Source organism: Homo sapiens, chromosome 11 (assembly GCF_000001405.40).
Source record: "Homo sapiens chromosome 11, GRCh38.p14 Primary Assembly".
Lineage (NCBI taxonomy): Eukaryota > Metazoa > Chordata > Mammalia > Primates > Hominidae > Homo > Homo sapiens.
Window position 1 is genome coordinate 79,253,077 of NC_000011.10, and position 27,816 is coordinate 79,280,892.

General features: G+C 45.2%; 1 protein-coding gene across 5 annotated transcripts in view, besides 2 other annotated features; it reads right to left on the reverse strand.

Annotated features, from left to right (window-relative positions):
* The window catches only part of TENM4 (teneurin transmembrane protein 4), a 788,202-nt gene that overhangs the window by 600,248 nt on the left and 160,138 nt on the right, over nt 1-27,816 (reverse strand). The gene's annotated exons all lie outside the window — the stretch shown is intronic.
* Nucleotides 9,612-10,177: an enhancer, noted in NCBI's record as "H3K4me1 hESC enhancer chr11:78973733-78974298 (GRCh37/hg19 assembly coordinates)". NCBI's record gives its function as "activates a minimal SCP1, AML or CMV promoter by ChIP-STARR-seq in primed H9 embryonic stem cells {active_cell/tissue: H9 hESC(primed)}" and the evidence as "EXISTENCE:reporter gene assay evidence [ECO:0000049][PMID:30033119]".
* Nucleotides 16,986-17,485: an enhancer, noted in NCBI's record as "H3K4me1 hESC enhancer chr11:78981107-78981606 (GRCh37/hg19 assembly coordinates)". NCBI's record gives its function as "activates a minimal SCP1, AML or CMV promoter by ChIP-STARR-seq in naive H9 embryonic stem cells {active_cell/tissue: H9 hESC(naive)}" and the evidence as "EXISTENCE:reporter gene assay evidence [ECO:0000049][PMID:30033119]".

The following is a 27,816-nucleotide window of genomic DNA, read 5'->3' on the forward strand; positions in this document are numbered from 1 at the left end:
CCAGTGTCACACGAAAGTAAACTCAACAACTAAGGCTTATTCTGTCTGTGAAGCCCCAACTTTTAACTTCTGTACCAAATTGCTTCTCAGCAAATGCTTGTTGGATTAATGGATGAACAGACAAAGGAATAACAGCCCATCCACTGGGGCCAAAAACATAAACTGCACTCACTCAAACTCACACTCAGGGCCTGACCACCGTAAGGCCTGAGCAAACTCATCAATGTTCCCAAAGAGGCTATTTTCCTTTTATGAGGTGTCTGCTGCACAAAGAGCTTGCCGGGAAAACAAATCCCCTTCATGCCAGGAAACAAACAAACACTGCACTGGAGTGGAAAATAATCGCAGCCTGTCAGACTCCTTGGCATGCTGATGATCTTCATGGTCCAGCAGATGATGTCAAGGATGTGACCTCCGGAGGCTCACAATAGGCAGTCGAGGAAGCCCTCATCTAAATGGATGACACAGAGTCCCACAGCTGATCCGCGTCTTAGTGCCTGGTACTTTAGCAGCTGCTGGGGAACTGTCTGATTGGTACAGCTTCTCCTCTGAACCGATGGGATCCTAAATAATTAATCGCCCTGTTTTCTGTGGGGTGGGAATGGGCAGACCGTCCAAGAGGCTACAGAGGTTTCCCTGTTTAAGTAAGAGAGGATGAAGACGTTTAGACCTTCATCCCTCCCCATTTGATTCAGAATCTCAAAATAAACTGAAATAAAATCGATGATGAACTTCTTTTGGTTTCATAAAAGTACCAAACTTATCTCCAATCCAGTAGAAAAAAATAGACAAAGAATATGAATATTCTATTTACAGAAGAACAAATACGAACAGCTAGTAAACATATGAAAAGACACTTGGTCACACTGATAGTTAAAGAAATGCAGATCAAAACAACAGTGAAATTACATTCTTTTCCCTATCAGGTTGGTGAAAATGGAAAAGCTTGATAATTTTCCAGTGTTTACCCACAGGAAAGGGGCATCCTCATATGCTGTCGATGGGAGTGTCCACTGGTGAAACTATTTTGTAGGTCAATTTGGCAATCAATACCTATCAAAATTTAAAACTTTTTGGCTCATTTATTCTATTATTAGAAATTTACTCTCCACTTACACCCATCCCCCAAAACATGCCAAGATAGGCATATGTCACAGCAAAAAACTAGAAAAACGTAAGTGTCTTTGAGCAGAGACTGAGGTAAACGATGTATGGCACATTCAACAATGGAAAAATATGCAGCAGTTAACAAGAGTAATTAGTTTTGTAAGGACTGATAGTGAAACACCTCCTAGGTACGTTGTCAAAGGGAAAACCCAAGAACAGAGGATAAATGGGCTCTTTGGTATAAATAAAATATGAGCCTACACTTTCTTTTACGGAAGAATAGCAGAAAACTCTTTTGCTGTGGCCACCCTTGGAGAGAGGCAGCTAAGGAGCTAAGACAAGTCACGCGTTCTTTTCTGACTTTCTGGACTCTGTACTTTCTGATCATGCACATCCAATTTTTTAAAGTCAACAGGAGTTACTGGGGCAATGAGATTAAAGGCCATTTTGTTTTCCTTACCCTTGCACACATCAAAAATCACTTATATTAAGTGCTGCAACTGACTATAATATTGTGTTAATATTATATAATGTGTTCAATGCCACGCTGGTGAGGTGAGAGTGGAGGAGAGTCACATACACAAGCAGCTGGTGTACAGGAAAGGATCTGGAAGGAAAGATAGTGTCAATCACCCCAGTGGGTTTATTTGACAAGCTTGAGTTGTTCTTCCCTGGGAATAATCAGAAAAATAAGAAACTGGGGCTTGGGAGGTGGAAGGAGACAGTGGAGGTCGGGTAGAATAGAAGCTTTTCCATGCATCCTTGAGAGCCATGGAGGGGACAAAGGAAAAGTCTTCCCAGTTCTGGAAGGGCGTCATATGCCTTGCAGATGATGGGAAGCCCAAAGTGAGAGGGTCCCACTGGGCTTGTGGGGGCATGGGCAGCAGCCCCGCTGGGTGACCAGAAAGGTCTGGAATTCACCGCAGAATTGGGGGCGTGGTGCAAATCTCCCCACAGTTAGGGAGGTTGAAGAGGAAAAATAAAGATGCCTATTTTTCCATCTCAAGTGTCCAAGTTTATTTTCCTGTGGGACTAAGCTGCAGAGTACAGGTGACCCCTCTGTCTCCTTTACACTCTGCACCCAGCATGGTGCCCAGTGCACAGAAGGACCTGTGTGTGAAATGCATGGGATGCTGACACAGTCTTTTCAGTCCGGCCTCTCATGTTCCTAACGCCTCCGTGTCTTACATAGATCCCTGCAAGCCTGCAGCCAGGTATCCTTTAGAGCCTAGAGTCGGCTGGCAGAAGATATTTATACATGCAAAGAAGCTCAAAGAACTCCTCTTGGAAAGCCTGACCTATTTCACCAGTTAGTGATATCTGAACAATAAAGATTCATTTGACTTTATTAGATCAAATGTAAAACTGAATTTAAAATTAATTAAAAATGACGGCATACAGCTCCTTACAAAAACACCTTTGATGTGCATTCAACACATTGAATAGCTAAAGTTAGGGAAGCCAATGAGTTTTCAATTATCCCAGCTACAGGCAGAAAGAGATAACATGGATAAAAGAAATCCACAGATAATCAAAATTAAAAATCCTTTATTCTTTCTTTCCATTTCAACTTTTGTCCCTAACACAATCTTGTTAAGACTCTAAGGAAAGCTCAGGTTTGTTCAATCTTCTCTTCTGTCCCTTTCTCTATTGAAGTAGAGATGTAAATAAGGTAAGAGAAAGTGGCCTGTCCTGAGAAAGCACTGTGTGTCAGAGCAGAGCTGGGCTGGACAGTCTTTGCTCCTCCAGCTCTTTTCTCTACCCTTCGCTGCCCTTTTCTGTGCCCCAGGAGGCTGAGCTTTTGGGGTGATATCAATGGAATTCTTTTCCCTTTGACTTCCGGTTAGGGTTAGGCTATTGGAGCCACCAGCCTCAGAGGACAGAAAAGAGAGAGGCTGGGTTGTTTATTCCCCCAACTCTTCCCTGCTAGGCTATAGTTGTTAGTAGTGGCTTCTTTCTTCTACCTAAGGCATGGCTGCTGTCCAGCATCTTCTCCTGTAGCCATAGCTCTCAGTAACTACTCCTGCCCTTTCCTATTTAGGCCTAGTGGGTAGTAACAGTTTCCTGGTGTTGCTAATCCTGGGGTGCTGCGCTATCTCACCGGCTTTCTGAAACCCTGCTCCTCTCTCAACCCTCCTCAGTTACTCCATTTGAGTGCCTATCAGTTCCCCACACTTGCCATGTATTGTAGCATTTCATGTCCTCATTTTCCAGGGAAGTGGAGAGGCTGAAAGAGGGTAACTGCTTTGCCTAAGGCCACATCACCAGGCACTGGCAGAACCAGAATCCCAAGCCAGGACTGCCCAGTGCCAAAGCTTGGAGATCTGACAACTCGATTTCACCAGTGGGAAACCAAAGCAATCAGTGAGAATCTGCAAAATGGTGTCACCTACAAGAGAACCATTTGAGTTTCCATCTCAGAGTTCAAAGGGTTCAGAGGCTGGATCTTTAAGACTGTCCATGTCAGGTTTGTCTGGACCTGTTAGGAATCCTGCTGTTTATCAATGACTTTGTCTCTTGGATTTTAACTTTTAAAGGTCCTGTCTCATTTGTGGCTCCTGGACTCTGAGCCTCACACAGGAGACTTTCAGATTTCAGGCTTTCATTGGGTGATAGGGCTTTCTGGGAATAGGGCTTGAGAGTGAGGTGGAAACTCAGTTACGTTACTAATCATGTCCTCATTCATCCATCCATCTGGTCACTGTGCAATTACTAAGGGCCTGTGGAGTGACCAAGATGAGCAAGACATAACAGATGGCTCCTCATCTAGTCAGGATCAGTGACAAAGTCTTCCTGTAGAAAGCAACCACTGAGCTGCAATTTAAAGGATAAGCAGGAGTGGGCATGTTGTGGATATGAGAGACAGAGCAGTGAATGAAGGAAGGCAGGAGCATTCCAGGCAGAAGAGGTGGCCTGAGCACAGGATGCATGCAGGTGGTAGGAGATGGGCTGGAGGGGCACATATGGACCAATCATGGTGGGCATTGTTCAGTGTACTAAGGAACTAGGCCTCAAGTATCAGACTGGGGCCCAAGGTCTGGGCCAGCCTAGTAGCCTCTCAATCTGAATGTTGTGTCCCAAAGGGTTGTTATGCCACTTCTTAAAGAATTAAAAAAAAATTTCCCAAACCTATTTAGAAGTAGAGATAATAGTTCAATGAACTCCTATAGACTCAGCATTCAGGATGCTGTTCCTTAATCACCTCCAGTTTCAGGTAAAGACTGAATCTAGTGCCAGGAGCTCACCAAGGCTGTGGTGCAAATGTCCTCAGCTAGAGGGAGAGGACACCAGCCAGAGGTGCTCCTTGAGCCTAATAGAAACAATGGCCAGCAAATACTGATCCACTTGCTTCTTTTCATCTGCATCTTGGAAGGGTGGAGGGTGGAGGGGCCCACAGCTAATGCAACAAAGTTAATAAACTAGAAATAGTTGACACGTGTCTTTGACACACAGGCTGCCAAACCATCTGCCAGGGAGGTTGAGAGCCTCCTCTAGTAGAGGTTTCTGGAGTAAAAAGGAATACACAGGCTATCAGAGCAGGTCACACAGAATCTCACACTGGCCCATTATTAAGGCCACCACATTGCTGCTCAGAAGGGGAAATTTCAAACTGAACTTGAGACCAAAGAGCATCCTGACTCCACAAATGCTATCATTAAGGATCATCATAGATAATGTGGTTTTAACTAGAAGGGCTGAGGTACTGGCAAATGTTCAAAAGACTTGTCACGTGAGAATCCACCAGCACCATGGTGAAAACAGCCTGCAGAATGAGAGTCTGCTCAGGTGCAAGAGTTTAAGCCTTCTTCCTGCAAACACCTGCGAGGTGAGGGGTTCACTCAATCCATGGTACAGACAGGTTGGGTGGAAAACTTGGTGTTATCCCCCTTACATTAATGGGGAGAGGAGAGGGGTTTGGTGTCTTGTCATGTGCTGAGATGGAAAGGGTTTTAGAGTCAGACAAATAGGCCTTTGGAGTCAGATAAATAGGCCTCTCTATTAGTTACGATGATGAGACCTTGGACAAGATGCATAACCTTTCTGAGCCTTGATTTCATGTGTAAAATGGAGACAACTACATCTACATTCTGCAGGGCTAACCAAAGGTTTAAGTGAATTAATGCATCTCCACACTGGTACAGGTGACTATTATACAATGGATGGTCAGAAAGCATTACTTTCTTCCATTTTCCAGCCTCCCCAAGCTAGTAGGCAGTGGGGCCTCCATTCAAACTCAAGTCTTTGTGAATTCTAAGGCTGGCCCCCTTCAATAACTCTATACAACTTCTCATCCTTCCTTGGTAAGGGCCAGGACAGGGCTTTATTTCACAAGGTCAAGTGTGCAGTAAGTGAAAGTGGCCTTGACTTGTAATACACCAGTTTCCAAATGTGAGAAGTTTCCTGCCTGCATCTCTAAATCCTATCAGCCTCCTGCACCAGGGAATCTTTACTGACAGTGAATGCATTAAATACCAATAGATGGCTGGGCTTCTGAGCACATCACATAATCCTTGTCTGCTAACAGAGCCAGGGGCTTAAGCGGATGCAGTTATTTCAACCAGGGAGGCTCAGGCAAAGCTGTTTGTCTCTTTTTAAGCAAGTGCTCCCCCACCGGCTCCCTGGCTCACTAGAATGATGTGTCTGTCATTTATTCATGCAAGCCGCCCACCTCTCTAGGCAGGCAAATCATCTTTATGCTCATCTGAAGAAAAACATGCCCGAGATGAGCAATCTGAAGCTGAGTTCCAGTCCTGGCCCCCCCCACCTACTAGCTGTATGGCCAGGGATAGTTTCTTCATTCTTCTGGTTCATTCCAAAATAGTGAAGATCACACATATTTGGTTCACAATGCAGAGAATTACAGTGCACTAGGTCACGTGCTCAGTGTTGAATTAGCTCGTATTTCTCAAAGGAGTTGGAGGGTGTTCCTAGGACAGAAGTAGGTGTGCCATAATGAGAATATTGCTTGGCCAAAAGGAGGGTTTCATCAGTTATGTACCTACGCAGACTACTTTGCACAGCTTGGTCAAGGATCAAATAAGATACAGAATGTAAAGTGTAAAGTACTGTTCAAAAGTAAACTAGTATGAATTCATCTATCTGTGCATCTACCCATTCATACACTGTTTCCTCCACCTATCCATCTAATTCAACAATAAATATTTACTATCTGTTACATGTTAAGTCCTAGGCATTGGACATACATCAATGAAAAAAATATGTAAAAATTCCTTCCTTCCTAGAACATACATTCTAATGAAATCTACCTATCTATCTTCATCTACCCAGCCATCTGTCCATCCATCCATCTATCCATGCATCCATCCATCCATCCATCCATCCATCCACCCACCTACCTACCCATATACTCACTCACCCATCCACTCATCCATGCATCTATCCACTCATCCATCCACCTATCCATCCATCCATCCCTCCACCCATCCACTCCCCCATCCATCCATCCATCCATCTATCCATCCATCCATCCATCCATCCATCCATCCATCCATCCATCCATGCACACCCATCCATCCATCCCTATACCCATGAACTCAATCACCAAGTATCCATTAAACATCTACTATGTACTCACTATGGCGCTAGGTACCAGCAAGCAATTAAAAGAGAAAAAATCTCAACAACTCTCTTTTGTTGTCATTTACTGTAGTCACGCAAGATGGGTTAATATCACATCGCTTGCTGACAAGATCCCTGGGCTCTGAGCATCTTATTATGGCCACTTCTCAGACCTACCAGTTAAAGAGCTATGTGATGCAGGAAACTGTTAATAATCAACTTAGTGGGATACAGTGAGCACTGCCACCTGGAGGGCTGTGGGTGGTGGAGAGAAGTGGCTTTTTATATGGAGGTTACAATTTTTTTGTAGAATGAACAAACATTGTGCCTCAAACATAGTTGTACATCTGTTTCTCATGTGAGAATAGATATTGTTGTGACAAAATATAACTTCATTTAAGGGCATCGGTGAGCCGATAGTCACTTTCAATCATTACTTAACATCAGAGTTGTGACTAGGGTAAGGTGAGCGAGGCACCAAGGGTAAAAATTTTCAGGAGGCACTGAGTGCTGACCCTGTGATGGCTCCACCCTGATTGCGAGTGCTTCCTTAATTTCTACCCCAGGATGCCTCACCTACATCTTATCAGCAGTATAGTAAGAACATCCCTTTAATGAACACATTCCATATGTCTGGACATGTGCTATGTATACTTGGCATATATTATCTTACTTAGCTTTTACAATCACCTTAAAAAATAGAGATTGTTAGCTCCACTTTACAGAAGAGTAAGCTGAGGCTAAAGAAGGCATATGATTTACTTCAGGTAATGGAACCAGGGAACCTAGGTCTGTCTGTTTTCTGACCAGAGAACTCTTCAGGGGCAGGAGATCTGCCTTGTTCTTCCCTGTTGCCCAGTATGCGGTAGAGGGACTCAGTGGACTCGTGACTGTGGACTCCATAAATTACCATTTGCTTTAATTCAACTCCCTTCTTCCTCCTCAAGCAGCACGCCTCCGGTGCCAACTCAAGGCTCTCCAAGGCTGTACCTCATTACTGCCAAAAGGGCCCTCCCACCTGCCCAGTATTCCCTACTCCTGACACAGACTGGCCTGAGGTTCTTCTGGGGATCCAACCCCAGATAATGCCAAATCTTCCCCCAACCCACTTCATTCCCCTCTCTTACAACTCCTTGACCAAAGGGACAACTGGGCTATGAAAACGATGTTTCCTGAGCTCAGAATTTCTTCTTGGAAACAGAGCAAAAGAAATAGATGAAAATGAGGCAATTTAGAGAGATCAGCCAAGTCAATTTGTGATAACCTGGGTTCTAAAGTGGCCATAATTGAGTGACAATTTGCCATGAGGCACAGGGGGCAGTATTCCTATTTGCCTTGACCTGGCAGGTTGGAGAGGGAGGCTGTCTAGTGGGTAATTTCTGACCTGAGCCATGGAGACTGGACCTTTTGTGTGGAAAGTTCACTGGGAAGTACGACCCCCTGACCCTGGGTCCAGACATAATTTCATACCTGGAGATCGACCTCTGCAGAAAAACTGAGCTGAACTAGCAGGGTAGCCTCCATGCTTGTGTGTGGGGAAAGCTGATAGATCTGACCCCACAAACCTGTACCAAACCCTGCTCCAGGGGCTGTGGAATGGACATTCATTAGACACAAACTCTGTTCCCGGTCCCATGCTAGGCCTGTTCCTGTGAATTCCTTCAAGAAATGCTTGCTGTGATTCCATGAAATGCTGGGGGAAGCATCCTGGTTTCTTTTGGGGATGATGGAAATGTCCTAAAATAGATTGGCTTGGCTTGGGAATGAGCCCCCACAGTATCTTCGGCTCTATATGGAACCCCACACCAGGAACCCCTGGGGACAGCTCTTCCCACCTTCCTTGGGTCTGGAGGCTGGGCTGGGAATATACAGAGAGAGAGAGCTGTGGGTTTTGTAGGACGTGATGGCTTCTACAATTTTTTTGGTTTGCTTTTCTTTAGGAGGAGGAGCGCTATGTGTTTGGAGATGAAACCATTTAAAAAGCACAGATCTTGACAAAACAAAGCCAGTGGCTTCTTCCTCTGCAGCCTCTCAAATTTCTTTCCTGACCCCCAGAGACAAATACTGGGGCAGGCCTCTGAGTCCCTCCAAAGAAAGATGTTATGCTGCCAACATTTGGTTTCTTATAACCTCTGGATGGATGAAAGCAAGTCATATGCATGGTCCATGGGGATGCCAAAGGGGCCTGCGGAGGAACATGAGATCACAGCCCTGTAAGGATTTTCTTATATTTTGAAGAAATAGCCTTCGGGATAGATTACTTTTCTTGAGGCAGAGACCATAAGATGGAAGACAAAAGCCTCAGAGCTAGGAGTCTGAAGTTTCAATGGTGTGTGAGTACCCATCACGTGCCAGGCGCCACCTGCATCTTCTGAGACACGATGGGTCCCAGCTCTGCACTGGACCCAGGAAAGTCTTGGAGGCTCAGTTTTCTCACCCACAAAATGGGGTCAATAATGACGCCTGCCTCACTGGGCTGCTGTGAGAGGGCATGGAAAGGCTGAGAGGTTGCAAAGTGCTGTGTAGTGCACAGTTTATGGGTGCTTTTCCTGTGTTCTTTCACAGGCTCTATTCACAGAGCCCAGCCATTGGTCTGACACTCCAATCTGGACTCTTCTTTGAAAATTACCAGATTCAACAAAAAACATCTGGCTCAGGGTAGGGAGCCCCAAAGGAAGTGGACGCCAGTCTTGATGACTAAATTACTACTAGCCCTTGCTAGAACTGAAAACAAATTTTATAACTGTAAACTGCTCGTTCCATCCATTTCCCCTAGTCTTTGAAGATCCGTCTCTTTCCCAACCCCATTTCCTCACTACAGCAAGAAGAGATGCTTCAGAAATGAGACCTCAAGATGTAACTCTGAAAACAATTTAAAAAGGAATGTGTGACCCAGCAAGTGGCAGAGGTGCTTGGAGAAGCAGCTTGGTGTATTAGGTTTAAAGAACAAGACTTAGAGTCAAATCCCGGCTAAGCCTTAGGCTGGCTGTGTGATCCTAGACACATTTCTTAATATCTCTGAGTCTTTTAAGTATCTTACCTGTAAAGTGAGGATAATGACAATTACATGGGAGGATATCTTCGAGGAAAAAAATGAGATGATACATATAGGTGACTAATAGAGGCAGTGCTTAATAAATATTCCCTGAATTGAGTCGAATTGAATCAGTGCATGCTATCTCTCTCCCTTCCCTAACACCTTTGCTGAAAGCTCAGCTTTTGTAGCTCTCCCTGACCACCTGCCCAGCACAACATTCTTTTCCAATGGGCTCAGTGGCGAGAGGAAGATGGAAAGCATTTGGCCAGAACGCAGACCTCATTAACTCCCGTGTCTCTCCATCTGCTATCTATCAGGAACCCAATGCATGGAGGCAGGTGACCAATAAAAGCCCTCCCGTTTCCCTTTGTCTCTGGGCCAGTGCATGACAGTGCAAAGCTGTCCACAACTGTGGGCCCCGTCAGGGCTCTGCTCTGGCCGTCTGACTCCTAGCAAGAGCAGAGACTTTGCTGGGCTGAGAAGAAGGAAGCTGAGTTCACAGCCAACTCAGAGGCAGCAGCTGGGCCCACCTGGCCTTGTCTGTAAGTCAAGGGGGAGTCTGAAAAACCAGCAAATGGCACCGCAAACATGGTGAAGTAACGAGGTCATTATGTACAGCACAAAAATCTACAATTCAAATGAGTTTCTTTATTTCCCAAGGGCATTGAGAACATTGCTTGTTTTACAAAAGTGAGACGTGCACTCTAGTTTTTCCAGAAACATGGAGTTTGCAGAAAGAAAGGTGCAAAGAGTCCATGTAGACAATAAATGCTCAGTAAAATGTGAGCTGTTGTTACTACAGAAAATGTCTGCTGAGAACTCCTTCACACTTGTTGCAGGTGGTATGCAGGTTTGCCCCTAAATGTCCAGGTAGCCAATGGAAAGTAGTAAACATGATTAGTTTTAATCAGTATCACAATTTCCAATGTCTAACAGTAACCCTAGTAACCCAGGACCAGCACCACTGTTAATGCTACTAAAACCAGGGACGAATACAGCTCTCCCTTGGTATATATGGGAAACTGATTCCAACACACCCTCCAGTTTATTGAAATCTGTGCAAACTTAACCACATATGAGAAAAGTGGGCCTAGACCTCCCTATGCATGGCCTACGGGGCTTCGCATCCCTTGAATATGGTATTTTCCATCAACATTTGGTTTAAAAATAATCTGTGTATTAAGTGGACCTATGCAGTTCAAACCCACTTTGATCTAGAGTCAACTGTAGTATCTTCCTTAGGTCTTCCAGAATGGACATTGTGTAATGAGAAAAAAGAGATGTTCAAGTAGGAACTGCAAGCGCCGTTTTGCTGATGCTGACCATTGCTCTTACTTATCAGTGTCCGACTGTGAAGAAACCAGGCTATCCTTCTCACTGAGATACCACGGGAGCAGTGAAAACATGGCCGGCACGGGTGCTTTACAATCCCAAGCTACCCGGGCTCAACATCTATCTTTTGGCCTTCCTGTTTTGTCACTAGTGGAATTAGAGTATTATTAATCAACCAATCAGCCAAATAAGGCTCATTACCATTAAAGAAGAGAAAGTAAGCTTTATTTATGCAATTATAAGGCATTTACAAAACAAAGGGATTATTATTAATACTTGAGCCTGGCAATCTTCCCAGAGTGGTAAACCGACAAGGGCTTTGTTCTTGAAGAGGCAACACAGCAGTAACGGATTCCCGTCCCCCTGCTCTAAGCTCTGGGTGTGTGGCAATACCTCCTGAATATTCAAGGAAGGTTCTGAGGGCCTCCTCTTCCCCTCAGTGTTGTTTGGGGAAAACATCAGTGGGTTGGGATTAGGAGGCTGGTGTACTACGTGACCCCAGCCCAAACAAACAAAATCTCTGGGCCGTGGTTTCCCAGCAGTTACACGTTGGAAATGGGACTAAAATCACAGGGTAGGACTTGTAGAAAATACTTGGATCCCATTCCCATTTCAAACCAATGGAATCAGAATCTCCGACGGTGGGGTCCCAAAATAGTATGTTCAAAAACTGTTCTAGGTGATTCTAGAACATAAGCAGGGGCTGCAAACCACGACTTGGATGCCCTCTAAGTCCATTCTGTTTATACCTCTGGTCTTGTCAACACTTAGGATTTCTCAGAGACACCTGTTCCTGGGTTATCAAAGGCAAATGTCTGCAGAGGGTCTGCAGGCAACCTAATGAGTGGAGGCAGCCAGGTGTGGGGCCAAAGGTGTTCAGCTGCCTGTAGACGAAGCATAACACCTGCCTGGGTAGAATGTTTTTTGAGATACAGTACAGGAAAAATCAAATGGCACACACAGCCTACAGCCCTCAGTTTGAGACCCCGGACAAACTGACAGATCTCAGTTCCTTTTAGATGGCTAGCTCACTGCCTTGTAATGCATGAAACTGCATGCTCCCTGGTGACACAGGCCATTTCTTGTTTGACTTTATATCAGAAGCCCTAGGCACATGAATGAAGGGGTGAGTGGGTGGGTCTCGGACATTCCTTGGTTCTTCAGTTTCACATTGCGTGATAAAGACTTTAGGAGTCTAGGCCTGCACTGTTCAATACTGCAGCCATTGGCCACATGTGGCTATGGAGCCCTTGAAACGCGGCTCATCCAAAGTGTAAAATACATATCACATTTCAAAGACTTAGAGTGAAAACAAGAATTTACATTTTTCTTAAATTTTTAAACAAATTACATGTCGAAATGATATTTTGAATAGATTGTGTTACATGTATGATTAAAATTAATTTCCCCTGTTTCTGTTCATTTTTTTAAATGCAACTACTAGAAAATTAAAAATATTATATTTCCATTGGAGTGTGCGGCTCTGAGCCATTTTGCTTTCATCTACTTTTCACATATATATCCATGTCAGCCTTGTGTGTGATTTTTTTTTAACATTTCTCTCCTATCAATAAACTCTATCTTTCTCGCTTCTCATCTTCCAGTAGGATTATAATAAAACAGCATGAGAGATGGGGAGGAAACAGGGCTTTGGATTAAAAACCTAGTCCTTCTCTCAGCCTAGGAGGTTATGCTATCTGTTCCCGTCTCTCACCTTCTACCCAGGGTATTTTCTTGTAAATGACCATGGCAACTGTCTCAGCTCCCTCCCACAAAGATTTCCTCTCTCTGATGCCTTTCTTCTCATTTCCTACTCTCAGAACTCTTATTCATCCTTCAAGACCCAGATTAAATGCTACCTCCTTCTGGGAAGCCCTATCTGATTTCCCAGGTGGAGTAAGTAGCACTCCCACTTGCCTCTCCGGCACTCAGCTCTTACTGCTGTTGTAACACTTCTCCCAGGAATGACTGTGATCCTTTGACCAGCTGGCCTACGTCATAAGACTTACTGAGTGCAGGGCTGATCTATTCTGTGTTCCCAAGGTCTGACTCAAGATCTGACATGTGCTCAGTAAATGTTAGATGAATGGATAGATCTCACGCATCAAGGGAAGTATCTTTATACATTCCTTAATCTTCTCAACAAATATCTACTGCATACCTACTAAGTGTCAACCATACCAAGCACACTCTAGGCACAGGGAATACTGCAATGAGCAAAATAGTCAAAAATGCCTGCTTTTATGGAGCTTTCCTGCTTCTGCTAAAAAGTACCTTGCATCATCCTAATGCCCAGATGTTCAATAAATATTCACTATGCTGATGTTGAAGAAGAGGAATGATACAGGCAGGAGGAGCTCCTGTGCCCCAGAGCCCATCCTTCTGAAAGGCACAGGCCCTTATCTTTGCTACTGGTGTCAGTAGGCCCTTATCTTTGCTACTAGTATCAGTAGAGGCTCCCTTAACAGAGTCTTTACAACCTTCCACTTACGCTGTGCACTAAAGAGTTTAAGAGGTGCAATAACATTGCAGCAGCAGGTATTTATTGGTTTTGATAGAGACAGAGGCAGCTCTGAATTGGCCAAAGCATGACTTTTGCTTTTTTTAGAGGCACACTAGTAGTGACCAAGGAGACTGATAAGACTTTCAGAATTGTCTAGAAGAGTAACCATAAAAAACAAATTGAAGCCATTGCGTGCATTAAACAAAGGATCATTAAGCAGAAGGATCTCTGCCCTTCAGTACCACAGAGTTTTATGGGAGAGACAGGCATATATATAAATTATGAGATACAAAACACGTTGGGATAAAGGTTACCACATTCACAAGTGAGCATTTTGGATATCTTATAGGAGTTTCATTCTTCACCCACCCAAAACAAAGCTCCTCATCTTCTCTCCACAATCGCTTCTTCTCTGGTCTCATGATTGGCCCCACCATCTACCTAGTTACTCCAGCCACAAAGTGAGACCTGTTTGTCACCTTCCTCTCCCTTTCTCACCATCCACATGTAATCAAGAACTGAATCTTGTCAGTTCTAATTCTAATCAGCTCTACAACCTACACATGCCTCTCCAAACTCACTACCAGCACCAGAGTCCAGCCCATCATCATCACATACTTGGCCTATTGCAAAGCCTTCTTGTCAATCTCCATATGTCTACTCTTGACATAGTCCCTGCACCTGCCCTGCCCCACTGTTCTGTGGAGGCCATTTACCCTGTTCAAATCCAAAGATGAATGTCCTAATATGAGAAGAATGCCAGAAATGCCTCACTGTTCAGCCCATAGTTCTAATTCTGAGATTTGGAAAGATAAAGGTTGATGCTAGGTAAACTATATAGAATAATGGAGTATATAGTAGGGACTAAGGTTTAGAGTCAGACACACCTGGCTTTAAATTTGAAATCTCCTATTTCCTTGCTTTGTGACCTAGACAAATTAAAACATCTCTGGTCCTTCATTTCCTCATCTGTAAAAGAGGATAATCATCTTTACCTCCATGGTATAGACTCTCTTAACCTATACAATATATTCCTTAGAGAATAAATTATATAAGGTATGACTAGCACTTAAGGCCAGTATCTGGCACATAATAAATTCTTGATAAACTGTAGTTTGTTGAAAACAAAAAGATTATTCACAGAAAGTAGGTATTTGTCTCATTAGGGAAAACTATGATTCTTACAGAGCCCAGGTCCTGCCCCAGATGTACCACTTCATTACTGAAAAATCCCAGACACCTGTATCACCTATAAATTGTTTGAGTTTTTGACTGTGCCAAAACAATCTAACATCCTGCTAGTGTAACCAAAATGGAAGATCCTTTCTGTTCCTATCAAGCGAGTGCTAGGAATCTGCAGTTTTACTAGGCTTTAAACTTCTTAACATCAGTGTAAAGAAGGAAATATAATCAGGTATAAAATTCCCAGTGTTCAAGAGGGAAAGACAAATTGCCAGGGAAAAGCACAAAAAATTCTGGTATTGAGACAAGAGAGAACTTTCTCAACTGTGAACTCAAAGAGAAAATCTGGAGTACTACAGGAGTCAACAAACTTTTCCCTAAAGGGCTGGGCTGTAAATAATTTAAGCTTTGTGGGCTATATGACCTCTGTTGCAACTACTCAGCTCTGCCATTGTAGCTCAAAAGCAGCTACATAGACAATATGTATATGAATAGACTGTGTTTCAGTAAAACTTTGTTTACAAAACAGGCAACAGGCCTGTGGGCTGTAGTTAACTGACCCAAGTATAATATAATGAACCACATTTCAGCTATCTGACACTGGACAAGTCACTTCTTCTCTTTAAATCTTACTTTCCTATATCAAAACATGAGAGTTTTGGGCATGAGTGAGATGTAAATGAAATAAGGTAGAGTCAGTCCTTATTATTCATGGACTACCTATTCACAAAATTGTATTTGTGAATTTTGCTATTCCCAGAAATGTACTTGTAACCCCAAACCCAACACTATCATGGTCATTTGTGGACCATGCATAAAGAGGTGAAAAATTTGACTCATCAGGTGCAAAGTTCCCAGCTGAGGTTAAACAAAACAACACTCTGCCTTCTTGTCCCAACTCTCATAATGTAAAAAGTTTCCTTTTTGCAATCTATTTAGTACTACACTTTTCACATTTTTGTGCTGTGCTTTTTGTTGGTGATTTCATTGCTTGAAATGTCCACCAAGCATAGTGCTGAAGTGCTAGCTGGTGTTCCTAAGTGCAAGAAGGCTGTAATATGTGTTATATGCAAAATGTATGTGCTAGATAAGCTTCATTCAGGCATGAGTTATAGGATTGCTGGCTGAGAGTTCAATGTCAAGGAATCAAAAACATATATTAGATAAGATGTCTTTAAATAGAACACACACGAAACCAGATGATGTATTAATGAGCTGACAAAAATGTTTTGATCAGAGGCTTACAGGAACCTAACCCTGTATTTCCCTTAGGAGCAAAGGTTCCACACTCACTAATTCAGGATTCCCACCTACTTTATATAACATAACTACTGTAAAAAATGAGAATCACCTGTACATGAACATGCTGTTCAAAGTAGTAGCTAAAATTACTGTTACAAAATTCTTAGTTAAAAACTATGCTGTGATAGTCTTATCTCCTAATGCTGCAATAAAGCTATAACTAATTCACCATTTTCGTTTTATTCTGTTTGTATTATTTAACAAGAGTGCTGTGTTACTGCTATTAAGTGGTTGTATCCAAAGTTAGCCAGAGAATGTGTCTACTTTTTCTTTTTCCCATGGCTTCCTGAAGAGAATAAAAACAAAAATAAAGCCTTCCTACAGACTGTCTCCCAGGGGCTTCTACAGACAGAAAGCAGAAATAAAGCACTCTCTAGAGCCACAATTTTAGGCAAAGATGAGAGCAGCATCTTCCAGGAGGGGAATAGGGAGCTGCGTGGGTGGGGACTCGAGGCTGCACCCCTACCTGGGAGAGAGCAGGGCTCCTCAGGGCTCCTCAGGGCTCCTCAGGGCCCTCGCCTGCCCCGATGGCCAGGCAGACTCTGAAAAGCAGTGCCCCTGGCTCCTTGCTGCCCTAGTTAAAATGCCAGCCTGGCATTTATTTGTTTTCTCCCAGACAGATGCCAATTACAGGGGGCTGGGGAAAGAGACAATGGCCCAGATCTGATTGACAACGGCTGCTGAACAAGGGGCCTCTGTGGCATGCTTAATGAAAAGGCAACTGTGGTTTTATTTCATCTATTTGATTTTAGAGTGTCTTTTATAAAAACAATTCAACCAGCAGGATTAACTACTTCTGGGCTTTCTCTTCACCCTCTGGCTCTGTAGATGTCCTGCTATCCCTGACTTCCCCTCTTCCTCCCTCCACTCCCAGCAGGTTCCTTTCCAGGGCCTCGCAGAGAAGCACAGGCCTGCATGCAGCCCCACTCCACCAAGACTCCTCAGTGATTGCTGGATTTGTCCCCAGGTTCCCATCCCCCTAGCACCACCGTCCTTTCGCCCAGCATCTCCTCCTGCCTGGCCACCTGCAGGAGCCTTGAGGCTTAGCTCCCTCTGTTGTTCTTTCCTCCCTGGAGGCTTTGGAAGTGTGTGGAGCCAGTTTGGGTTGTTAACAATGAGGGTGTAACTGGCACTTAGCACTTATGGGTGTGCACAAGGCATGTGCCATCCAAAATGATCCCCAGTGATTTTATTCCCTTGGCCACTTTGTAGCCAAAGTGACTTTGCCTCTAGTCCCACAACCTAATTACCAAATTGTATGGCATGTGAATTATATTCAAACAAATCTGCTATATAAAATTTTAAAAATCTAATTACCATAATTATCTACTGAAAACTCCTAAATGATTTGGGATCATCTGTACTGGATCAAATTCAAACTCCCCACATGGTACCTAAGGGTTTCTCAGACCTCTGGGCCCTCCTATCTCTCCCATGTATCTCCTCTCACTGCTTCTCACTAACCATGGCTCTCACCCCCATCCCAGTGAACTTTTCATTTCTATTCCAGCTCTGCTTGCTGTTCACATTCTCTCTATCTAGAGCACCCTCCACTTCACTTCCTTCCATGACAAATGCTTACTCAACTTTCAAAGCTCTATGTAGGCATCACCTCCTTCAGGAAGCCCACCATGACTCCTCCCAGCCTCAGGCTGCCTCTCTGTGTTTCCCTTGTATAATTTGCAGGGCAGTTACTCAACTATACGGCCCCACGATGGCAGGGAACAGGCTGAATTCAGTCCTTAGCAGAGGGCTGGGCTCACAGAAGAGCAAATCAGGTGGGAGAACAGCTCCCCTCCTCCCAACCAGAAGCAGCTTTGCCTCTTCTGTTCTATGTATTAGGACATCACAAAAGACTGAAGAAAATTCCCACAGTCACAAAAGGTTTGGAAACTCTGATCTAGGTCATTGAGTTTGTCTGCTGGGGAAATTGATGACTTCTGAAGTCATTTTTCATGATGACTTCTGAAGGCTAAGAATGGAATTAGTCAGTCTGGGGGTAAAAGACCAACAGGTACTTGTATGCCTTTCTGACCCCAGTGAAGATCTCAAGATCTAGGGTAAAAGCAAGCTGCAAGGGGAACATTCAAACTGAACTCAACAGCCAGCGTTCCTGAGCCGCCCGATAAAGCTTCTTCCCCAAAGGGTTATGTCTTTGAAGAGATCATCGAATGCTAATCGGAAAGACAAAGATGATTACAGAGACTTTTTCTTGTCTTTCTAAAGGGCTTTAGAGACGGCAAAGCCACTTGCTCCTCTAGGTTCTCTTGCCATTTATTTGCACTTTTCATACCAATCTGGAGTGTTCTATTTATAGGTCCATAATCCATAAGAGACCATGGCCCCTCCATGATGGGGCTGAATCGTATTTGCATTTGTGTCCCCAGGGCCACAGTGGGTAAACAGTCTGTGTTTGCTGAGCTTACCTCCTTACCTTCCCTCATGAGGGGAAAGGCAGGGCCAGCCCTCCTGAGGGCCTTACCTAAGGCACCAGCTGTTTAATGGCGGGGCTGGGTGGAGCCCAGGTCTTCACCTTCCACTCTTCAACCACAACACTGAACTTGCCAGAGTGGTCCTGGCACGGGCTCTTCAGCCCACCTACTCCCCCAGCTCTCTCCCACAGGGTCCTGGGGTGGCAGTAGAGGAAGTGGTGGCCTCTGGCCTGGGACTACCTCTTGGCAAGACCACCTAGTAATGAGGGCTTTTTGTTCCTTAAGTGACCAAACTCTCCCACTCCAGGAAAGGAGAGAAGGGGAAGCAAACATACTTCCCATGCACTGAGCACCTGCTGTGTACCAGAGACTATGTCAGCCACACACACAGAGCTCATAGTTAAATAAAATGAGAACATAGATGATCTCATTTGGTTCCTGTAACAACCCTAGGAGGTAGTGATGTCTGCTTCCATTTTCCAGATGACAAAGTCAAATTAAGAGTAAATGGCAAAATAGGGATTTTCAGCCTCAGGCCTTTGTGACTCTAAAGTCACAAAGTGCTTTTTCCACCTCCCACATCCCACCTCCCAGAGGGACTCAACCAGTCCTGGATTCCACTCTAGCATTCTCACAAGTTTCTAGCTGCTGCAAGCTCCTTTCCATTCAACAGTCATTGCCTGGAAGCTGAGTGTATGTGGCTAGAGGGATTGTTTAGATCATAACTGTTTTCAGAACAGTTCAGATCTGAAACCTGTGTGATTTTAAATTTTCTAGTAGCCACATTTAAAAAGCAAAAAGAAAAAAATGACAACAATTTTAATGATGTTACATTTATTTCATCTATAAAGAAATTTTATTTATCTAAAATATTATAATGTTGCTACCTAATATAGAAAAAGCACTCATGGGACATTTTATATTCTTTTATTTTTCCTCCCAAGTCTCTGAAATCCAGGGCACATCTCGTATTATATCTATGGTACATATTAATTCAGACTAGCCACATTCCAAGTCCTCAATAGTCACATGTGGCTGTTGGCTACCATATTGGTAGTGCAAAGCTGGATCTTTCAGTTTCTCCAACCAAGCCACACACACTCTGGCCTCTTCTCACATGTTCTTCCCTCTGCTTGGGGCATGCTCCCCACCACCCCAAACCCACTTTGCTGGGCTGACTTTCAAATCAGAGGTCACTTCCTCCTGGAAGCTTCCCCTGGCCTGAGTTAAGGGCCCCCTCACATGCTGCCATGGCATTCCATATTAAATGGATTGTAATTGCTTGGGTTTCTTGGACTTTAACTCCATCTATATCGTGTTTACCACTGAGCCTCCAATGCCTAGGATGTACCTTGTACATAGCGGACACCCAGTAATGTATGCAATTTTGCTTGCTAAAATAAAACATCCTTTAGGCCCTGGACATTGATCTGCTCAGGGATGGTCCTAAGAAGCAAAGAGAAACCAGCCTCTCTCTTTACACTTACCCAAAAGAGCACAGGCTTTGGAGTCAGTCAGGCCTTGGTTCAAATTCTGATTCTACCGCTTAACAAATCTGTGTCCTGGCCAAGTTCCTTTACCTCTCAGAGCCTTAGTTTCTCCATCTGTAAAATGGGGCTATCAATCTGCCATGCATAATTGTTGCACTGAGAAAAGGGAACAATAACCTCCAATGACAATGCCAGTTGAACTATGACATGCCTTCAACTGTAAGATGCATCCTAATTTCAGAGATGTTAAAAAGTTAAAGTAACCATCTTAAACTCAATGACATTTGATAAGTGATTCTCCCCTCGTCTTTCTCCCTGGAGAGTTACTGGACAGAACTCTTAGGTAGAGGATGCTGACCTCTGACCTGTGTCACATCACATGGAGCCATGGGACTTGGGTTTCATGAGGTGCTCTAGAAACGATAAAGAAAGAAATGGCTATTTAATGAATTCCCACCACAGGCCAACCACTTTCCTTACATTATTTCAATCGCTTCGCAAAGCAATCTTATTTGGTATATTTCTCATTTTTAAGAGAGGTTAAGTTGTGTAGCTAGTTCAAAGAGGTTAAGTTGTGTAGCTAGTACACGGTGGAGCCGGGCCTGGAACCAGGGCCCATGTCATGCACTGCCCCACTGCCTCCACAAAACCCAGTTTCTAAAGGCCTGAGATCTCGAGGTTGGCTGGCTGTTCTGAAAGCCTCGTTAGCAGCATCCTGTAAATGCGCTGTAAATGCCCTGAACTCCTAAAACAAGCTCTGGATCAAACCATCAGCCCTGAGCTTATTAGATTTAATGCCAGGAACAAACCTTGAAACAACAGGTTAAGGAGACCCCTGCAAAGATCTGAGGGAGAATCAGAGCCTGGCCCTCCAGGGGCAGCGGGCTGGCAAGACAAGGCTGTGCACAGCTTGCCAGATCCAATATCAGTGAAAGGGAAGAATGCTGGCCTCCTCCTCAGCATCTGCAAGCTTCAGCACTCCTCCACGGCACCCCACTGTGCGAGGGGGAAATGAGGAAGAGCCTGAGATGCTGAAATGGCCAGGGGTGCAGGGGTGGTAAATGTGGAGCAGGAGGATGTTAGGAGGGAAGTCCTAATGTGGGGAAGTTACCCAAGCTTGTAGGTGCCTGCAACATAAACATCAAATGTAAACACCTAGATGGGTGGCAGGGACTAAGGACAGAAGGCAGAAGGTCCCTTTGGTTACATATTGGCGACCAAATTTGCTCACAAATTCTCGTGAAGGTCTTTTGCAGAATGCATCCCGTTTTTCACTCTCAGATTTGCAAAGGCTGAGATGACATGCTGGTCCTGCAATAAATTAAGATACAGGAATTTCCTTACAAAGTTCAGTGTCTTTCCACAAAATCAACTAAATCAAGTTGCTGATTTGATCATCTGAGGAAGTTTATACTTCATGGGAGTTTCTCAAGCTTCTTCTTTGTTTAAGGTAGCTCCCTGCATCTTCTTTATATTTTTCCAGATGAAATCTTGGTAAAATGGTTAAGAGAAGACCTAGTATGGTGAAGTGGAAGGCAGGGCTCACCAGGCCACCCCTCCTCTCCTATCCCCTGGTGAAACCCCAGCATTGGGCAGAAGAGAGATTAAAAACCACGGAGCTGGCACTTCCAGCTGTGGCATTTGATGAGTCTGTTATAAATTGGGGGGGAAAAAGGCTTAAACATGTAACAGTGGAAGCCTGTTGTAGTAGAGAGGATGCTGGTTTGGTTCACCAAGAAAGCAGCATTTTCAACTTAGTTTGGCTGGGAAATGAGTTTCCCCAGGGTTTGGCTTTGGCATGGGTGCTGGGCCCCACCCTTCACTTGCCATGTGACCTTAGCCAGAAGACTTCTCCCCGGGCCTCAGTTTCCTGCAGGGAGTTGGGAATGCTCAGTGGCTCTCGCACAGTGCTCAGGGGAATCCTGGAAGCAACCCTCCCTCACTTCACCACTTTATCCAGAACATCTCTGCTTTTCTGTATTTTATACACTTTGGATCCCTGTAAAACTTCCTTTGAAGATGTCTTTGTGGTCAGTAAAAGTTGGAACTCTGACAGACTGAATAATCTCCTACATTCCTTCCAGCCCTAACATTCCCTGACTCTAAAAATCACCAAGTTAAAATCTATTCATGGGAATAAACAATCCTCAAAGAAGTTAGAAGGTGCTGGGTATGTGTGAGCGGGGTGTGTGTGTGTGTGTCTGTGTGTGCGCGCGCATGCGGGCATGTGTTTGTGTGTGTTTAATCCTTCAACATTTATGTGTGTATGCCTGTGCTTCTCAGACGCAAGCCACATGCAAACATTTCCCCTGCAAAGTTTGGTGCTTTTAAGTTATTTATGTGCAAAAGATGCCTGTAGGCAAAGCAGGGCAAGCATGTTTCTGTGCCAGCCCAGAAATGCGCTTTGCACTCTGCAGGTGAGAAGACACTGCTGCCCTGCGGCCTGCAAACAAGCAAACCAATTGAGAGCAACACAACTCCACCAGGCAGGTACTCACACCCTTGGTTTCCTCATTTTCCTGCTAGCCTTGTCTCCACTCCCCAGGCCTTCCCTGATTCCTGCCCATCTCTCCAAGATAGAAAAAGGAAGACAGAAAATGCAGCCCAGTAACCGTTTCAAAACAGTGACATGATGCTAGAAAACAGTCATTAAGTCCACTGCAGACTTGTTCAAGTTTCCCAAGTCTTGTTGGGTTAAACTTCCAGACCCAGGGCCATCATAGTGCCACAGCTGCAGATGCAGCTTGAGGGCAAATAGAAGTTGGTTCTCCCTGGGTGACAGGTAATCCTTAGCATCCTGTATAGACAGGCCTCCTGGTCCAGCCTAAGACCCTAGCAGAAGGGAGCAGATAACAGCAACATCAGACCATGAATAAATCAAAAGTAATTTCCATTTCTCTTTGGATCATATGGGTTTTATGTGGGGGGAAGGTAGAGCACACATGCTTTTCTGATTATATCTTCATTATGCCGCCTAAAAACGAGCAGATAAATAGACTGTAAAGCTGAAAGAGACCCTGGAGGGCATCTCACCCACCCTCCTCATTTTAAGGGCAGGAAAATCAAGACCTGGTATGGGAAGGATCCTTACTGAGAATCATCCTGCTATACTACCTAGGAGACTGGACCTCAGGCCACTGGCCATTTCATTCAGCCCCAAAGCTGTTGCCAAGTATACTTATACAGTATGCTGTGGCCTTCACTTGCTAATGGCATACTGTATAAGACATGAGGACAGGAGGGACCTCAGAGCCAGCTCACACTCTGCTCACCCAGCCTTGTGCCCCGGTGCCGGGCTATGTCTGCCTGGAGGAAGGGCATTGTCTTCTAACCTGCACAGAAGGGCTAGCAGGGTCTCCAGGAGGCAGGAAGTGTTCACAGAGGGGGACACTGGAGCCCCAAGATGAGTTTAAGAGCAGAGAAAGAAAGTGTAGATGTTTGGAGGGGGGTGGGAGAATGTGCAAAGAGCTGCTGCTAGGGATACATCCGGCATGCATCTTTCTCCTAGCGCAGGCCCAGCGCCCCCTGATGCCTGGGCCTTTATCCAAGGCCTCTCCAGGAAGACACAGCCAGAAACATGCTCTTTGGATCCCATCTTGGAGTAGAAGGTTACAGAACCCACCCCTCCAGGACTCTCTACAGCTAGGTTCCAATGGCCCTGTCATCCTTACAGGAGACTTTGGGGGCCTCTACCACTGCCATACTCCTTGCTGCTTTGGGGGTACCATTTGCAGCCTCCCCTCTCCCTCCCAGCAGCCTTTTTCCTCTGCCACCCACATCCTGGGGAGAAGGAAATCACCCAACAGAGAGAAGGGGAGACCTAGCCCAGCTGCTCTGCCCAATCCTGGCAATAACCCCTTCCCCCATCCCCCCAACTTCTGCTGCCTCAGGAAAGGGCTGAAGACATAGATTCCAAATATAGGTACACCCCCACCCCCAATCCTCCTGCCCAGCTAATATTAGCCCTTTTGTAGAATCCACTGACAGCATTATTCTGTTTTTTTGGCTGTGCTGGTGGGAATTCTTCTGCTTACAGTAAGGAGTGAGGCAGGCTGAGCCAGCAAAAGACTGCAGAACACACTGAGCCAGATACAGAGAGAGCTCTGCTACCAGGGGCTGTGCCAGGTGATTTATGGAGCTCCTTTTCAGACACGAGATTTATGATTCTGCAAACAGGGAGTTTTGGGAAATGGGCAGGGCATTGGGATGAGGATGGGTGGTTCTGGTTAATTGAATTTGTCAGCTTCCAGATAGAGGGGGCACTAACAGTTGTTGACGATTTACTCTGAGCCAGGAACACTGCTAAGGATTTTGTGTACATGATTTCATTGTATCTTTACAATAACTCTATGAGAGGGGTAGAATTATCCCTATTTTACAGATGAGGCATTGAGGCTCAAAGAAGTGAAAGTAACTTGCCCCCTGACAATGTCTAATCAACGCAAAGATGGGATTTGAACCCAGGTCTTTGTGACTCCAAAGCCCTGGCTTTTCACCATGTCATCAGGCCTGTTTGTTTCAACACTGGCAGAAAATCTTTTGAAAATGGTGTGAGTGTGCTACTTCTGCACGGTCCATAGTTAGGGGCAGGGAAGCAAAGTGCTGATTTTGGAGTGAGGGGATGTGAACTGGGGGCCTGCTGCTGTCAGGCAGACTTGGAGTAACTTATTAGGCCTGTCTGAGCCTTGGTTTTTCCACCTAGAAAATAGGGGTGCAGACAGAGAAACCCCAAAGGTGCTTTTGGCCCTGACTCTTGGAGTCTGCATAGTTTTCTGAGGGTCTTCTTTATTTTGATGGCTAGTTCTCACCATCTTGGCCCAGAAATGCAGCTTGAAATGAGCACAGTGGCATGAGGTGAGGGCAGAGAGCAAATTGAACATGTACTGACCAGAAGGCCCCCTAAGCAGCCTTCCTGCTGAGAACTCACTGTCTTGCAACTCCTTTCTACAAAGTGCAAAAGAACAAAAAAGCTAATTCTGCCTGAGGCAGCATAGCAAAAACAAGGTCCTCCTGGTTTCTCAAGTTCACTCAGAGAAGAAAGAGAAAGCAGATTTGAGAGAGAGCGTATAGATCTGGAGTGACTGGTAATACATGGGGGAAACAGTAGGTATTGATTTCATTCCATTGCTTATTTTCCCACCTTGTTCCGATGAGGATTCAAGGCAGGGGGACTTAGGAGTTGGTGATGCCTAAGGGGTTCACAAGGCCATTCACTGAGAAAGGAATAGACTCAATGAATATAGCTGATTGAGTCTAGAAACACAACGTTGTAAGCTTGTCTCCATCAGGAAAATGAGACTGGCCGGACAAATGGACTGATTTGTCAATTTGACGGCTGTCCTACTGGCTTAATTTTTGGCACCTGGAGAAATGCAGCCTTTGGGGCAGTCCACCTTGCTGTCAGCATTGTGATTAAAGGCTCAGGAGGAAAGACCTGGGCCTGCTTGCGATGGGGAAGCCAGCAGGAGCCGCTGAGAACCTCTTGAAAGAACTCTCTTCCCAGACTCCAGACATCGGAAGAGCTTTCCCATCAAAGCAGCATCAGCAGAAGCACCCGAATTCTTGCCACTTCATCTTTGTTGTATTTTATTGACGTTAAACTGATACTGAAATTTCATTTCCAGAAACCTTTCCTGGACCATTTCTCTGAGGAAGGAAGCTAGCCCATTAGTGAGCCACTCAAGTGGCCCGTGGCAGTCTCTCAGGAATTCTCAGAGCTTGCGGCTCCCAAGTGGTGCTGGGTATGTGTGTACATGTGCACGAGGGACAGACAAGCGCAATGACACTGTCACTATCAGGAAATCACAAACAACAGGATTGTTTTCAAGGTGAGGCCTGGGCTCTTCATCCTCCAGAAACCAACAGAGCCTAAAGGGAAATCTCACAGGCACGGCCACGTGTCCAGACCCAGACAAGCGCACAGGGCCCATGACACAGAAGCACCCAACATGCACCTCTGAGCCCAGACACACGTCTGCTTTCAGGCACGTGCACAGGTGTTTACACCTTTAGATGCCTGCAGAGTCCTCACATCCCAGACAAACAGGCACACACTGGGGCCACGGAGGGTGGTCTCTACAAGCTGAAAGTTTACCACATTAGGGACTCCTTGGCTGAGCACCAGCTGTGGAGGATTTCCAATCTGATGATCTCAGAACTCCCTAAAGTGTCAATATGTTCATTTTCACAGCTGTTTCTTCATCACCTTCTTCCCAGAAGGCCTTAGAGAGAGTACTCCAGGCAGAAGATGAGTAACACAGTCCTTTGGGAGCTTACAATCTTCTGAGAGTAGCAACAGGTAAGATGGTGTTAAGGAGAGAGGCAGGCAGAAAGGGAGAGGAAGTGTAAACTTTCTCAGGGTCAAGTCTGACTTCTTTACTGTTGGATATCCAGAGCCCAGCAAGGTGGGAGCACCTAGTATAGCTTCATAAATAATTATGTAATGAATTGATTCAGGGCTATTGCAGGCCAACCTTACTTGGTCTCTCTATATGCCTCTCTGCCACCCAGAGTACCAGGTCCACACTCCTTATAGCCTGCCTTCCAGGGTCAGAACCTGTCTTCCCACCTCATGTCCTATCCCACTGCCCCATAGCTGCCTCTCTACTCTTTATTCCTGTTCCACTGAGCCTCTCCCCATTTCTCTAGGACTCCAGGGCCTTCCAGGTCTCAGGGCCTTTATGAAAACTTTCCCTCTGCGTACTTTTCTGTCTGGTGAGCTCTTTTTCACCCTTTCAGATGCATATCAAATATCCTCTTGCTATGGTTTGAATGTGTCCTCTCCAAAATTCACTTTGAAACTTGATCCCCAATGCAACAGTATTAAGAGGTGTGACCTTTGGGAGGTGGTTAGGTTATGAGAGCTCTACCCCTGTGAATAGATTAGTGCCTTATAAAAGGGGTGGAGGGAACTAGCTCGGCCCCCTTTTGTTGCCTCTTCTGTTCCCTCTGCCATTTGAGGACACAGTGCTCCTCCCCTCTGGAGGATGTGGCAGCAAAAAGTGCCATTTTGAAAGCAGAGACCAAGCCCTCACCAAAAATCAAACCTGTTTCATCTTGATCTTAGACTTCCAGTCTCTAGAACTGTGAGAAATAAATTTGTTCTTTATAAATTACCCAACCTCAAGTATTTTGTTACAGCATTATTAATAGCTGAAGATACCAGTCTTCTGTAGTTTCCACAGCTTTTCCTTCTCCTTCCCTCTCTTCTCAAGTCAGAGTTCACTGCAGCCTCCAAAGAGCTCCAAAAGGCCTACCTTCCTCCTTTTGTGGCCATCTCCCCACAGCAAGTGGCTCCAGTGGGCAGGCATATCCTACTCATTCCAGAGCCTGCCACCCACTAAGTGAAGTTGCTGGAGACCTAGCAAGGTGCCACCACAGCTCCAGGGCCTGGCTCTGGGCTTTGTAAGTCCCTTAGCTGGCCCCCTCCCATTTGAGTGGGAACAGGAGAAGCAGTGGATGCCACACATGGGAACCACACAGGGAAGAAGCGAGCCGGAGCACAGACTATACTACACCTGCTTTAGGGCTGCTGTAATCACCCACGCCTGGCCCCGGGACACATAGGAGGCTGTGATTCCCATCTCTCCGTGTCCCTGCCTCCAAGCCTGTGGCTCCTGTAGTCACCTGTCCCAATTAACCCTCCTGAAGCTCTTTTCTTGAGAGGCCCCTGGGTATGAAACATCATTAAGGACATATCTCTCCCAGGTTAAACTCCCCAGTGCGAAAGAGATGCTGGTCTACCTTTCAGCTGGAAAATCTGGGACAGCCAGGCTGGGTTAGTGGGAGCAGGAGCTGTGGGCCCTGCCTGCTCCCTTAGGGAAGCCCAAACTAATTAATACCTGGTTGGCC